The 15179-nt window shown below is 39.5% G+C and overlaps 1 protein-coding gene across 11 annotated transcripts in view, besides 2 other annotated features; it reads right to left on the reverse strand.

Annotated features, from left to right (window-relative positions):
* The window catches only part of APP (amyloid beta precursor protein), a 290579-nt gene that overhangs the window by 116154 nt on the left and 159246 nt on the right, over positions 1 to 15179 (reverse strand). For 3 of the 11 annotated variants that reach the window (NM_001136130.3, NM_001204301.2, NM_000484.4), the window contains 2 exons: positions 3312 to 3479; positions 657 to 713 (listed from right to left, as the gene is read on the reverse strand). The exons of 4 other annotated variants lie outside the window; for them this stretch is intronic. In NM_001136130.3, the coding sequence (NP_001129602.1) occupies positions 657 to 713; positions 3312 to 3479 (225 nt within the window). The remainder of the gene's footprint in view (positions 1 to 656; positions 714 to 3311; positions 3480 to 15179) is intronic. 4 more of the 11 variants (NM_001204302.2, NM_201413.3, NM_001136016.3 and 1 more) reach the window with 2 other exon arrangements.
* Positions 676 to 1489: an enhancer, noted in NCBI's record as "OCT4-NANOG-H3K27ac hESC enhancer chr21:27369694-27370507 (GRCh37/hg19 assembly coordinates)". NCBI's record gives its function as "activates a minimal SCP1, AML or CMV promoter by ChIP-STARR-seq in naive and primed H9 embryonic stem cells {active_cell/tissue: H9 hESC(naive and primed)}" and the evidence as "EXISTENCE:reporter gene assay evidence [ECO:0000049][PMID:30033119]".
* Positions 1490 to 2302: an enhancer, noted in NCBI's record as "OCT4-NANOG-H3K27ac-H3K4me1 hESC enhancer chr21:27370508-27371320 (GRCh37/hg19 assembly coordinates)". NCBI's record gives its function as "activates a minimal SCP1, AML or CMV promoter by ChIP-STARR-seq in naive and primed H9 embryonic stem cells {active_cell/tissue: H9 hESC(naive and primed)}" and the evidence as "EXISTENCE:reporter gene assay evidence [ECO:0000049][PMID:30033119]".

The following is a 15179-nucleotide window of genomic DNA, read 5'->3' on the forward strand; positions in this document are numbered from 1 at the left end:
CAGGAGATCACCTCAAGGCTGCAGTTAATTTACAACCCGATTGTGCGGGATGCGCCAGCCCACTTACCGAACTGGATAATAACTCAAGTCTTTGGAACAAGTCCTGTATAGCAGCACCTCCTCACCCCTCCTTCATGCCCTGCATTCCAAGCTCCCCTTTTTAAGCCTTTGTTTTTTAATCCAAAATTTGAGATGGTTGCTTTGAGGCAGGAGCCTGGACCATTTCCCCATTGCTAGCTTTGCTAAGTAAAGTCACTTTCCTTCCACTGCACCTAGCCCTTGTTCTTCAGTTCTGCAAAAGCAGTGAGAGGCTAAGCCTGCTCTCAGTTACACTGATAGCTTTTAGGAAATAAAATAGTAATGGCAAATACAATACAATGATGTTGTCCATATAATATTCAATAAAACCAGACTAAATAAAAAGGAAATTGGTCAGAAATAGAAGAAACTTAGTCAATGATGTTCTTAGCCCAACATCTCAAGCTGTCTGGCAAAATCAGATGTAATTACAAGCAAGGTAATGGGAAGAAACATTTTACTAAGACAGGTGTTCAAGAAACACAAAACCATGCAAAGAAGGTGATGATGCTGGAGTTATGTGAACCAAGCAGCATCCTCCTCCCCTCTTCCCTTCCCTCAGGTGAATGACAACGTACGTTTAACAGGATCTCGGGCAAGAGGTTCCTGGGTAGTCTTGAGTAAACTTTGGGACACTATGGAAAAAATAAGAGAACATAACTAAAAACAAAAAGAGAAACATGGGAATGATGGCTGAAATGCACGAGTCCACTGACAAAAAAACAACCTAACAAACAAAATCACTCACTTAGGTTTGGTCCCTCCAACAAAACCAAAATGAACATATAAACATAAGATCTATTTTCGTAAGAAGTTAACATTTGAGAATGCTGGATATTTTGTCTCTGATAGTATATCCGAGTAACAACAGGTTTCTTAACAGAAGAGGATTTCTTGCTCCTTTTGTGCCAAATATCCCCAATTCCCTTCGATGCATTTTTTCACAAAAACTCCATTTATTTCACTCATTCATAGGACAGCATGTGGCTCTCGGCTCTGGCTGTTTGCTGAGGCTTATACTCTCTACTTATTCTTGTCCACCCATCTAACTGATCTTCAGCCTTTGCCTTCTTCATACATTATTCTGTCACCTTTCCCCTCTAAAATCAGGCATAGCTAGCCTCATCTAATACATCTCTGTTGGGAGCATCGACCTTTTGCAAAACCCTCAGCAAACTGTGTGCCACCCAGGACACCTGGACAGGTGCCCACTGGTCACTCCCAGCCCAAACTGATCAAAGGGAGAGAGTGTTAGGTGAAGGGATGGCAGTACTGGGGTGAGGTGGAGAGAATTTTAATCTCTTGAAGCAAATTCATCACTGCTAATAATTAAAACCAAATAAATCTCTTATTACCAAAAACTATACATGATATTTCAGAAAATGAATCCACCCAGGGAAAGGGAGAAAAAAGTTGCAAATCTGCCAGGAAACCTCTCCCACCGGCTAAACCAGTGAGAATCACTGTAACAAAAGGCCTTTGTTCCAAAGGCTGCAGGCAACAGAATTCTCCATTGTGTTCGCAATACCTGACCTAATTGACTGCTTTGTTTGAAACTGAAGAAGGGAGTCCTTTGAGCCAGAAGCTGCAATCATCCAATCAGAGCCAGAAAAAAAAAAAAAAAAAGCCCTTGAGGTTATCAGTTCCTACACCTGTTCACACATGGGACTGAAGCAGTCATCTCATTCACTGGCGATGGCAGGAGACCAACAGGAGCTTTTCCATTACATTCCTCTTAGATCCTGGGCTCCTTTACAGTGGGGGTATTAATGGTGCAGGCCCTTCTGTTGTTTTGCTTAATCCTAAGATCTTGCTGCAAAACAATTTATATAATCCCTAGGAATCTCAGGCAGGAAATGTGGCTGCCACCCTTGCAACACAGCGGAGAATTAGGCAGGAGTCTCTCAAAAAAGTAATACACAGTTATTGAGTTTCATTTTTAGTTATCAAGCTGAGCTGAATAATTACTTCTTGAGTAGTTCATACTTCCTACTCATGAACAACAACAACAAATAAATAAATAAATAAATAAATAAGCACAATTGGGAATTTCACTTGGAAGTCTGTTAACGACATGGAAGTCTCACATCTGGTACTGGACCTCCTGAGAATTACCTCTTTGGGGAAAATTTCATCATGCACTTAAGTCATCATGACTTCATATTTTTATCCCCCGGAATTATGAAAAGCTTAATGTTCAAGAGAAAGACTTTGAAAATTATGTTCTGGCGGGGTGCAGTGGCTCACGCCTGTAATCCCAGCACTTTGGATGGCCAAGGCAGGTGGATCACTTGAGGTCAGGAGTTCGAGACCAGCCTGGTCAACATGGTGAAGCCTTGTCTCTACCAAAAATACAAAAAATTAGCCGGGCGCAGTGGCATGTGCCTGTGATCCTAGCTGCTGGGGAGGCTGAGGCAGGAGAATCACTTGAACCCGGGAGGCGGAGGTTGCAGTGAGCCAAGATCACGCCATTGCACTCCAGCCTGTGAGACAGAATGAGACCCTGTCTTTAAAAAAACAAAAAAAATAAAATTATGTTCCTCGAGCCTTATGTCATTGAAAGTTTCTCACGTTAAGTCAAAAGTTTTCTTCTACTTTCAAGAGAAGAAGCAGAAGTTTGACCTGGCAAATGTCTGTGTGCTGAGCTCGGAGGGGGCAAGACGGGCACTTCTACCCTCCGGCATTTGAGATGCATGAGCTCAATTCAATCACATTCCCTCATCAGCACAATAAAAGACATGTTATGAACCAACTTAAAGGTATTCATCACAGCCATACACCTTATCAATGCAACTCAAGCTGCATCAGCCAGGCTTCCAGTGGTAGACAGTATCTGCACAGGTAGTGCACATGCATAAACATGAACACATATGTACACGGACAAACACATAAGTATGCATTTGCAGAAACGGCTGGCTGCAGAAGACAAAACAGCCACTCCAGCTTTGTTTAAAAGAGAAGCACTCAAAAGTCCCTCTGGATTGCAAGACATATGTGCTACAGCTAGGAAGAGAACACATCCATGGCCATGCTTTATCAGGGAAAGACGGAGAGGTGTGCTCATGATTGAACATACTGCGGAGACTCTGAGCAATTAGAGAAGTGGACAGAAATGTGGTTAGTGGTAGCAACAGGCCCATTCCCAAGAACCAGGAAAATCAATCTGTTACAAAAAGCAGAGTCAGTGGCGAGAGAGACGAAAGGTGGCCAGGCTCGAAGAAGGGTCCACTTACTGGCGCTGCCACACACGGCCATGCAGTACTCTTCTGTGTCAAAGTTGTTCCGGTTGCCGCCACATCCGCCGTAAAAGAATGGGGCACACTTCCCTTCAGTCACATCAAAGTACCAGCGGGAGATCATTGCTCGGCACGGCCCCGTCTCGGCTTGTTCAGAGCACACCTCTAATCAGAGGAGATGTGGGGAACCACATTTAGCATGAAAAGGCACTGTCTCTCTGTTCATGTATACACGTTTACTTCTTTTAATCCTCCCAGTGGCAACCTGGACTGGTTTATTAGGCAGCATCTACCAAACATTTACTGAGGAATTTAACTGGCCACCAGGACTAGAGATTTACACCTCTCAGAGCATGCACTGTCATCTGGTTTAATGAGTGCAGGACTCGGTAGCAATAAAAGGATTCCGGCCAAAGGTGAAAAGATCATTTGGCTGCTTTTAGATGAGTATGAAATGACGGAAGGTATCTGCACATCACAACAATTCTCCATTATAAAAAATAAACTTCTCTTTTTAAGAAGTCAACTTTCATGTAAGGAAACTGCTTTGGTTATGAAGCGAAAGTTTAAGCCCTCACAAACATCTGATTGCTTTCCTTAATAAATGATTGCCTTAACTCAAATATAAAATTAATTGCATATATTTTGAATGTTTTCCAGTGTTGGAAGCTGTCTGTCCATTGACTTTATCTGGAAACACATGTCATATCTGTAAATGTGACTTATACTCAATGACATTAACTTAAGACCATTCATTTGTATATTAAGATATGTACTAATATAAATGGTCTTAAATTAACTCTGATTTAAGACCATTTTATTTGTATATTAAAATATGTATTTATATATTATACATTAATAATTTAATTACATATGCATGAAGTACATCTATAACAACGTATTATTAATTCTGCTATTTAATTGATATTTATATATTAAAAATCTGTATTATTTGTATATATTTACATACACATTAAGTACAACTATAACAATGTATTATTTAATTATGCTACTTAATTGATATTTATGTATTAAAAATCTGTATTATTTGTATATTTTGTATATTTACCTGACCCTTGGGCAGGAATGTTCCAAACAATAAAACGCAGTCAATCAACTCCAACTGATTAATACACACCACGCACTGTTATACATTAAAACACATCTTACCTGTCAACATGTCTTGCCACCCTCCCCAAGATCAGTTTCACTCATCCCTGATTGCCTCAAAGTCAATCAGTGACCCATCCAATTGCATGTATAAAGTCAATCCTGAGTAGAATTATAACTCTACCTCCCATGTATATCCCATTTTTATTGGAAGTGAAACAACAGCCCAATTCTCTCTCTGGGTTTGTGCCCTGCCCTTGCTAGACTGACGCCTTAGCACACACAGATGTCTTCTTAGTTTTACTGACAGAGGAAAAAACACCTTTCTAAAAGATGAAAGCCACGCATCACCCATTACTTCCAAGTTAGGAATATTCAACAGATTCTTTTTTTCTTTTTATGAGACAGGGTCTTGCACTGCCGCCCAGTGGCACAATCTTGGCTCACTGCAACCTCTACCTCCTGAGTTCAAGTGATTCTTGCGCCTCAGCCTCCCAAGTAGCTGGGATTACCCTTGTACCAGCACGCCTGGCTAATTTTTTGGTATTTTTAGTAGAGATGGGGTTTCACCAGGTAGGCCAGGCTGGTCTTGAACTCCTGGCCTCAAGTGATACACCTGCCTCAGCCTCTCTAAGTGCTGGGATTACAGGCGTGAGCCACTGCCACTGGTCCTTCAACAGATTGATTCTAATTAGCCAATCAAAGACAAGGATCCATCACATCTAGGCATGGCTTTGAGCTTCACAGGCCAGAAGCTGCTCTGTCAGTAACTCAGAGGGGATATGGTCCCTAGACCCAATTCACTTTTAATAAATCAGGGTGCCAGTCCTTTAATTTTGGAAGATAAATAAAATTGCGAAGTAGATGGGATACTTACGTCAACAAGTTGGTTGGGTTTCATCCTGTAAGAGTATTGTGTACAGAAATCCAATTTGCTTTGGGAGCGTGGACTTTGAAAGCAGCAGTACTGAGTGAGATGGCCTTAATGATGGATGATAATGAGGTTGATGCTTTCGTAGCCACGTTTCCATCTGAAAACCACGTGAAGAGTGTCAGATCATCTTCATGTCCGTTGCATGGCGCATTTCTCCTGCGGAGTGTTTGACACCTTCTGGGCTTAGTGCTGACTGTCCCTCCTGTTGACATCATCGTGATGGTAGCCACCTCTGGTTTTACCAGTACTTTATTGCATCTACTGAAAGAGCAACGTGTATAGGGAAGTAAAACAATAGTTAGTCCCCATTTGTATTGACATTGTGGATCCCATCAACTATAGCCAGCAGTGGTCTCTGCTCCCAGAGCTTACCTTCAGTTGTAACAAACATCTACAGCTTCACTTTGCTTTCCTTCTCTGTATCTCCTTCACCAATGTGTACATATTCATGTCACATGCTCTTTAACGTTTCTAAGACACAACAATACCCATTATTAATCTCTTACTCAGGCAGTGTTAATTCCAATAAGACTGCAAGGCAGCAGTGCCTCCAGAGCCTGCACTGTGCCGGGAATTGGCACTGGGATTGCAAGCACCGTGGTCATTGCTACCAAGGGAGGCACAGAATCCCTTCACCCCATAGTCACGGGAGCATTGGCAACAAAATTTACCATGCCTTGGCAATTTATGCTGACCCTCACATTTTGGCATTAAAAAAAAGTATCATCTTAGAGTACCAAATATGTGTCTTCTTATAGATGTGTGCCACGGGCCTCGCAGTGAACATCACAGCTCTGCAGATGCACAAACCTTGTCTTTATGAGTCTATATATTAAATAAAAGTGGTAGAATTTTGGATGGGTGCAAGTCAAGTAATGGGATAAAAGAATGATGATCGAAGGAGATGATTCATGATAACTATGTGCCCTTATGTGAAACCTAGCAACAATTTCTTACTTATGATAAAGGCACAATCTCCCCAGTCCAGAATCTAAATGGCATTATATTAACATTTTCCTATACCACTAATTAAACATAATGCTACATTCATTTTATTTTCTTCTGCCTCATTCTATAACAGCTATGAAACCATTTGTTATAGCTAATTCGTAGAAGCCAGGCTAAATGAGCCCTAATCAACTAGAACAAGCATTCAGAACTCAAAATCCATTTACATGTTAATTAAGTAAATAGTATAAGCTACACGTTGAGCCTACAACTCTTGCTGGAGTCTCCAGCTGTAAGAGCCTTAACTCCTTCCTTTCATAAAGGCCAAGAAAAGAGTGAGTTAGTCCCTATTCGGGGAGTGTTGGTTGGTTCTCCCAATCCTGTTAGGGGCAGTTGGCACTCTTGACTTTGAACGGCCCCCAAGAGTTTCACTGCCTTGGTGGAGTCCAAGTGGGCATCATGGGCAATAGCAACAGATCCCACAATACTCAAATACAAAAGGCTACCTGAGATAATGCGGTCAGGAATGGGTGTAACAGTGTATGTTAATTTAATGTCAAATACATAATGTATGGAGAAGATGTACGTGAGGCTGGAAGAACAGGACTGACAGTGTGCTTTTGTTACTTCTCAATCTCTAAGAGACAGCTACCTTGTCCAACTGGTTCTCATCTGCTGACATGGAGGATGAGCAGATAGGCCTTCTCTTAACATGCAACCCCTCTCCTGGTGAAAAAGAGCTTCTCGTTATAATTCCCCCAATTGTCAGCAACCCTGATTCCCCATCACCTCAACTCTCACTTCCCAACACTTTCCCTCAGGGAAATAATGAGAACAGCAACTTCCTACAGCAGTGAAGCTGACTTCGGAGAGGACTGGGAAAGGAATGGAACGTATCCTCTATCACTCATAATTATATTCCTACTCTACTACAGGGAAAGGGAATGCAACTGTTTGTTTTCTCTGACTTTTTTGCTAACCCTTTATTATTCCAGAACAATTTTCCATGTAGTAGAAAAGAGAATCTTAGCCTACTCTGGGAGAAGCTGGGACTGAGGGTAGGGTCAGCACCAGCGATGTATGATGCTAATGCTTTTACACAAAGTATGAATAAGCACACAAGAAATGGCCAGTGCCTCTCAGAAGTGAACACGGAGAAGCAGCAGCATAGACTTGGGTTAAAGCAGTGTTAAGGGATTAATGTCAATTTAATAGTTGTGATACTGTACTGAGTGAAGACTATGCAGGGTCTCTTTGTATTAATTCTTTTTTTTTTTTTTTTTTTTTTTTTGAGACAGAGTCTCGCTCTGTTGCCCAGGCTGGAATGCAGTGGCACTATCTCCACTCACTGCAGGCTTCGCCAAGCTCCGCCTCCCAGGTTCACGCCATTCTCCTGCCTCAGCCTCCTGAGTAGCTGGGATTACAAGCACCCGCCACACACCGGCTAATTTTTTTCGATTTTTTAGTAGACACGGGGTTTCTCTGTGTTAGCCAGGATGGTCTCGATCTCCTGACCTCATGATCCGCCTGCCTTGGCCTCCCAAAGTGCTGGGATTACAGGCGTGAGGCACCGCGCCCGGCCTCTATTAATTCTTTCAACTGCATGTAAATCTACAATTGTCTCAAAGAAAAGATTTTTAATTTTTTTTCTTTTTTATTATACTTTAAGTTCTAGGGTACATGTGCACAACGTGCAGGTTTGTTACATAGGTATACATGTGCCATGTTGTTTGCTGCACCCATAAACTCGTCATTTACATTAGGTATTTCTCCTGATGCTTTCCCTCCCCCAACCCCCCACCCCCCCAACAGGCCCTGGTGTGTGATGTTCCCCGCCCTGTGTCCAAGTGTTCTCATTGTTCAATTTCCACCTATGAGTGAGAACATGCAGAGTTTGGTTTTCTGTCCTTGTGATAGTCTGCTGAGAATGATGGTTTCCAGCTTCATCCATGTCCCTACAAAGGACGTGAACTCATCCTTTTTTATGGCTGCATAGTATTTCATGGTGTATATGTGCCACATTTTCTTAATCCAGTCTATCATTGATGGACATTTGGGTTGGTGTCAAGTCTTTGCTATTGAAAAGATTTTAAAAAGCCCACATAAAAAAATGAATATAGGAAGCCAGGCATGGTGGCTCAAGCCTGTAATCCCAGCACTTTGGGAGGCCGAGGTGGGCAGATCACCTGAGGTCAGGAGTTCAAGACCAACGTAGTCAACATGGCGAAACCCTGTCTCTACTAAAAATACAAAAATTAGCTGGGCATGGTGGCGTGCACATATAATCTCACCTACTCGCGAGGCCGAAGCACTGGAATCACTTGAACCTGGGAAGCGTACATTGCAGTGAGCCAAAATAGTGCCACTGCACTCCAGCCTGGGCGACAGAGTGAGACTTGGTGTCAAAAAAAGAAAAAAATAATGATAATATAGGAATATTGATTTTTCAGTTTGCCTAAGAGTTCTAACCTTGTCTCTTTACTTGACTCAGAGATTGGAAGATTTGGAAATCTCAGTTTGAGAAAATTTCCTTTACATCCCTCTCTAGCAATGGGATATTAGTAAGAGATCTAACCAATCAAGATGCTCACCAAGTAGAAGAGTTTTAGAGCACTGAGACCTGAAACACATCTTCAATAAGCCGCATCTAGTTTCATGGAAGATAAAAATATCTCAAGAGAGAGTTCAAATGCTTATGTTTACATTTTCTATTTTTCTCAATAGCATAATTTCTTCCTTCCTAATCTACTGAAACTTCTAAAAACATCAGCAAAAAACCTGTTTCACATTAATTACTATTATCACTCAGTGGAAATTTATAAATCAGCCACTAAATGTAGAGGATGCAAAATTAGACCTTATATAACTAAACCCAAATAAGATTCCTGTGAAAATTAAAACCGTATCTTCAAAATGTATACTATATGTAATTATTATGTCAATTAAAAATAAAGTTGAAAAGAAAACAAATTTAAGAAAAAACAAAAAACTCTTCATCTGCCTTCTTTGTTCTCTTCTCAAAATGTAAAATACTGAGAAAACTAACATTTTGAAATCATTTTTGAAATCAAACTTATTTTTTGATTTCCAATCCACCTTTCTGTTCAAAGTAAATATCAGAGATAATAATGGAGAAAATTTGTTCAGAAAAATAAAAGCAAGAATATTTCCTAAAGAGAAATGTTAGAAACATAGGCAAAGACTTACATGGCTATCTAAGGAACCACAATCCTTTATTGATGTTGAATTTCTTACACTTTCAAGATCACAAATAGCTTTTCTGATATTCACTTATCTGAATTCTGCTGGCAAGGAAGCATTATGCCTTCTTTTGTAACAACTCTGCTCACTCTTCAAGACAAAATGCCATTTACTACACTGAAATGCTGGTGTATACGAAACACAAAGCAAAATCATGTGCTTCTAATAAAACTCCACGCATTTTATCTTTGTAAGGTAGGCCCTTGCTGAGATTTGTGCTCGTGTCAACGCTACATTCCATTTTCTAAAAATCAGTATAACACAAAATAATACAGAATCTAAGCCAGAGCTCCCTGGATTATACAAAATGATTATGCAATTCATTGTTCAAAAAATAATGCTCAACCACAAAAAATTAGTTCTGAATAGATATTTCAAATTGGAGTGAAATTCTTTGTGGACAACCAAGGTTAGAAAGCTGATTTTACATATTTTAATAAATTTAGAATGAACACAGTTGTGAAACTGGCAACCAGAATGGGGAGAAAATCTCCACTTTCAAATGTACGATAATTATAATGCCTTCTTATGAAGCAAAGTTAACAGATTAGCAAATAATTCGCTGTAAATAAAGTGGTAAATAAAGAATAAAGCTGGTTTTAGAATAAAGCAAAGCTGGTTATTATTATTTCATTTTTAATCATTGAATTTCAAGTATTCTCAGCCTACTGGAATGTATGTGAAATAAAACTATATTCCATGTGATGTATAAATTTTAAATTTACAAATTTTGGGAAAGCAGTCACAATCAAACTAGTCATTTAGAGAGAGCTAGGAACTATATTTTCTGAACTTTTTTTTAAAAGGCAACATTTTATAGCATTATTTTCTCCATACTCTACAAGAATATCTACTTAAACTTCACATAATACAACTATTTCTCCTTTCTGACAGAAATTCCCTATCTTGAACTCTTTTTCTCCAATTTTAAGTAGAGTAAAAAGGGCAAATGTAAGACAAATATAATTTATTTTTGTAATAAGTTACTTCCTTAATGTAACAGTGGAATAAAATGAAAACGACATAAATATTAAAATCCACTAAGTATACAAAACTTCAATATTTCAAATAAACGTTATAATTTATAAATATAATTATAATATATTAGATTATAATATATTATATAAAAACTTTATAATTTATAAATATAATTTATGTATTATATTTATAAATTATATATTATATACTATATATTACAATATATAATTATATAATACAATATACAATTTATATACATTTTATATAAATGTTTACATAATACATATATCTGTCTGAGCTCAATGTAGTTCATAACAACTTTATTTTTTTAGCCTAAGTTATTGCTGTAATTCTAAGTATTACTACGTGGTGACATTTCATGAGCCTAAGTTATTAAAATCAAACTTGTATTCTGTTGAAAAATAAGCAGACAATATTTGCATTTGATTCTACTGATGAAAAAATTTTAAAAGCCAACACAATAGAAAACTGGTTATTTTTTAAGAACGTGATTTTCCCAATTCTGGAACCATGTACTTTTAATAGAAAAGAACATTTTTCAAGTGCTTGTACGTAGTGGCAAGCAGTCGTCAAAAAACATGTTTAGAAAATTACTCTAATAAGGCAATAAATTATCAAATATTTATGACCTAGTAATCATATTTTACTAAATAGAAGCATGTAAAATTAGGCAAGCAAGCTTGAACTGAAGTCTTATGACAAATCTCACTTAAGCTCCAAATATGGATTGAAATACAAACAAAGATGATGCAAACAGCTGTGCATGCTAATGAAAGCACTGCTTCAGTACAAGAGGATGGTGCTAATTTGTCACGGAAGTAACTAGAAGATATCCGCAGTTGGCTAGCCTTTTTACTGAATTGCGTTAATTCTCTCAGGCTAGCCAATACATCTGTCATTCTAATTATACCTGACCCAATTCTCATCTCTCCATGATGAAAGATTGTTTATAAAATGCCACCTGAAGGAGATTTACTTGTAAAGTATTTAGACTAATCAGGACTCCCGTGACGGTGTTAGGGAACACTCACAAAAGGGTACCACTGTGGTTTTTCCTCAACCTTTGTTTCCTGTTTGTTATGGGAATAAACTTGCTCTTCACTGAGCTGCGTGGTTAGCGTGCAACAGGCTATTAACAAGAAGCTCAAAACTCGGGATATCATGTCCTGTATTGGAAAATAAGGGGAAGTGCTTTTTCTTACTGAATGAGAGACAGGAGTATGCTGGGAAACTGGCACTGTCTAGAAAAACAAACAAATAGAACACTCTTGAGTTACAGTGTATGCCAACTGCCATGGTATAAATACTCCCACCATTGGTATTTCAAGCTACTAATGGCTATGGCTTACAAAATTCCTCTATACTGTAATAATTAGCTTTTACAGGCTAGCAGGAGTTGGCTACACTACCATGTTAATGACAGGAAATAGGGGCACAAGTGAACACATGTAGGGAGACTGTAAGAGTTTTTCGGTTTCCTTGGTCTTGAGGTGTGAATTTAAGGAAAGAAAAGCTCAGTAGGTAGATGTCTCAGGATTGCCTCATACTTGTTGGTATCTGTAATATACCAAGAACAATAACACCAAAGGTAAGAATGGTTTTCCTTTTCAGTTTCTTACTTCCTGTCTCAATGCTGCAAATCTGCACCATATGGAAGGCAGGAGACGCTACTAGAGTCTACTACTCAAAATAGGATCATGGACCAGCAGAGTCAACACCACCTGGGACTCAGGCCCCCCATACAGACTCAACAACGATTGTTTTCCAAGGGCCTTGGATAACTCGAATGGATATCTCAGTTTGAGAAGCAGCATGATCAACCTTATCTTTTAAATGCAATAGATATGTCAAAACGTGAGACATAAGATTTAATCATTTTCCAAAAGAAGTAGTTAGGGAAGAATTAGTAAAAGTTGCATAGGTTTTGGCTTATTAAAAGAAGTACACATATATTTGGGAAAAGACAGATACAACAAAATTAGTAGTCTTAAGATTCAAATATACAGCTCAACAACTTAATTTGAACAGATTGAACAGATTGTCTATACACATTTATTTTACTCTGAAGTTCTGTCCTATCTCAAGCAACATTAAAACAGCTTCGATACCTCTGCCTTAGATCCAGTACCAAGATCATAATTTTCTTACTCATATTAAGACTATTGAAATACCAGACTTCTTAGAAAGCTGAATTCAAGTGGTATCATTCCTATAATATCCCAGAACATCAGAAATATCAAAGTTTTTATTTTTACTTGTAAAAATAATGAAGAAAGCCAAGATCAATTCAAGGGCTTAGAATATACTTCCTTTTTCTTTTCTTTTCTTTTTTTTTTTTTGAGACGAATCTCGCTCTGTCACCCAGGCTAGAGTACAATGGAGTGAACTCGGCTTACTGCAACCTCCGTCTCCCGGGTTCAAGCGATTCTCCTGCTTCAGCCTCCCGAGTAGCTGGGACCACAGGTGTGTGCCACCACGCCCGGCTAATTTTTGTATTTTTAGTAGCGAGGGGTTTCACCATGTTGGCCAGGCTGGTCTCAAACTCCTGACCTCAGGTGATGCACCCACCTCGGCCTCCCAAAGTGCTGGGATTACAGCATGAGCCATCGTGCCTGGCCAGAATGTACTTCCTTATACCACTTCTCTGTAAAGAAAGAATTAGATGATATTTCTGTTCCGGTTTAAAAAAAAAAAAAGAAAAAAAGAATGCCTCTAGATGTAGGTCATGGGTTGGAAGGATGGTCCTACTGTTTCATGTCCTTTTCTGGGGAAGACTGACATGTACACCTCTCCATGTTAACTGGCTTCTTGTCACAATCTCTAGCAGGCAAAGAACCTACAGATTCCAGCTGGGAACAGCAGTGTCTCTGGTTACAGCACAGATGCTAATCACCATTTGCTATTTTATAACAGTGGACAAGGGGAGAGTGAATTCCTTTTGAACAAAAAAAAAAAAAAACAAAACAAAACTAGGAAAGCAGTTTACCTCCATATCTCACTGTCTACATGGCAAATATGCATACGCAATGTTTCAAGTCAACATTTTATGTTGTTTTCTGTTTCTAAATAAAGCTACTAGACTACATTACACATTTTATCAAATACTTGCTTTTACCTTACTAAATGTGTATTTATCATATTTGCTTTGGCATATTTTTGTTTATTTTACTTTTTCTTATACAATAAAAAATGTTCACTGGTTATCTACAATGTGCAAAGCAGTGATACAGAAGTTAGAGCTTACATTAAAATGAGACCAGCCGGGCTTGGTGGCTCATGCCTGTAAACCCAGCACTTTGGGAGGCCGAGATGGATGGATCACTTGAGGTCAGCAGTTCAAGATCAGCCTGGCTAACATGGTGAAACCCTGTCTCTACTAAAACTACAAAAAAAAAAAATATATTAGCCGGGCGCAGTGGCAGGTGCCTGTAATCCCAGCTACTTGGGAGGCTGAGGCAAGAGAATCGCTTGAACCTGGGCAGCAGAGGTTGCAGTGAGCCAAGACTGTGCCACTGCCTTCCAGCCTGGGTGACAGAGTGAGACTTCGTCTCAAAAAAAAAAAAAAAAAAAAAAGCAAAAAACAACAAAACAAAAAAAACACACAAAACTTAGCTGGTCTTGGTGAGGCACACCTGTAATCCCAGGTACTCGGAGACAGAGGCAGGTGAATCGCTTGAACCATGGAGGCAGAGATTGCAGTGAACTGAGATCGTGTCACTGCACTCCAGCCTGGGCGACAGCAAGACTCCGTCTTTGGGGGATGAGACACAGTATTGCACGGGTATTTCTCTGTTCACTTTTTTATTTTTATTTATTTATTTTTGAGACGGCATCTCAGTCTGTCTGCCGAGACTGGAGTGCAATGGCACGATCTCAGCTCACTGCAACCTCAACCTCCCAGGTTCAAGTGATTTCTTTGCCTCAGCCTCCCAAGTAGCTGGGATTATAGGCACCCATCATCATGCCCGGCTAATTTTTATATTTTTAGTAGAGACGGGGTTTCACCATGTTGGCCAGGTTGGCCTCAAACTCCTGATCTCAAGTAATCCGCCCACCTCAGCCTCCCAAAGTGCTGGGGTTACAAGTGTGAGCCACCACGCCTGGGCTTCTGTTCACATATCTAAAGCTGCTCATCACTGCAGATCTCAACACCATAGCCCAGTGTTTTGCAACCAGAGAGAGTCTATCCCCTACTCCTCCCAGGGGACATTTTTGATTGTCATCACTTGGGGGTGCTGCTGGCATCGAGTAGAGGCTAGTGATGCAGCTAAACATCCTACAATGCACAGGACAATCATCCGCAACAATTATCTGGCCCAAAACATCAATAGTACTAAGGTCCAGAAACCCTGCCATAGCCCAAGCAAACACCAGAAGGATTCGTGATGCATTTTAGTAACTTTGCCCACCAAGACTACTGGGCAGCAGTCACCAGCACTTCAGAAATCCTGGGTAACAAATGCTAGTAAATTTCCAGAACAGATGCAATCATAAGAATTGGCAAGCAAGACTTTTCTTTGCTCCTATCATGAAACATAAGAACCTAAAGTCACGTGCAAGCAACATAAAATTGCCATCCATATTCTGTGATACTTGCATATTCTGTCTAGAAA

The sequence above is a fragment of the Homo sapiens genome, chromosome 21 (assembly GCF_000001405.40).
Source record: "Homo sapiens chromosome 21, GRCh38.p14 Primary Assembly".
Classification (NCBI taxonomy): domain Eukaryota; kingdom Metazoa; phylum Chordata; class Mammalia; order Primates; family Hominidae; genus Homo; species Homo sapiens.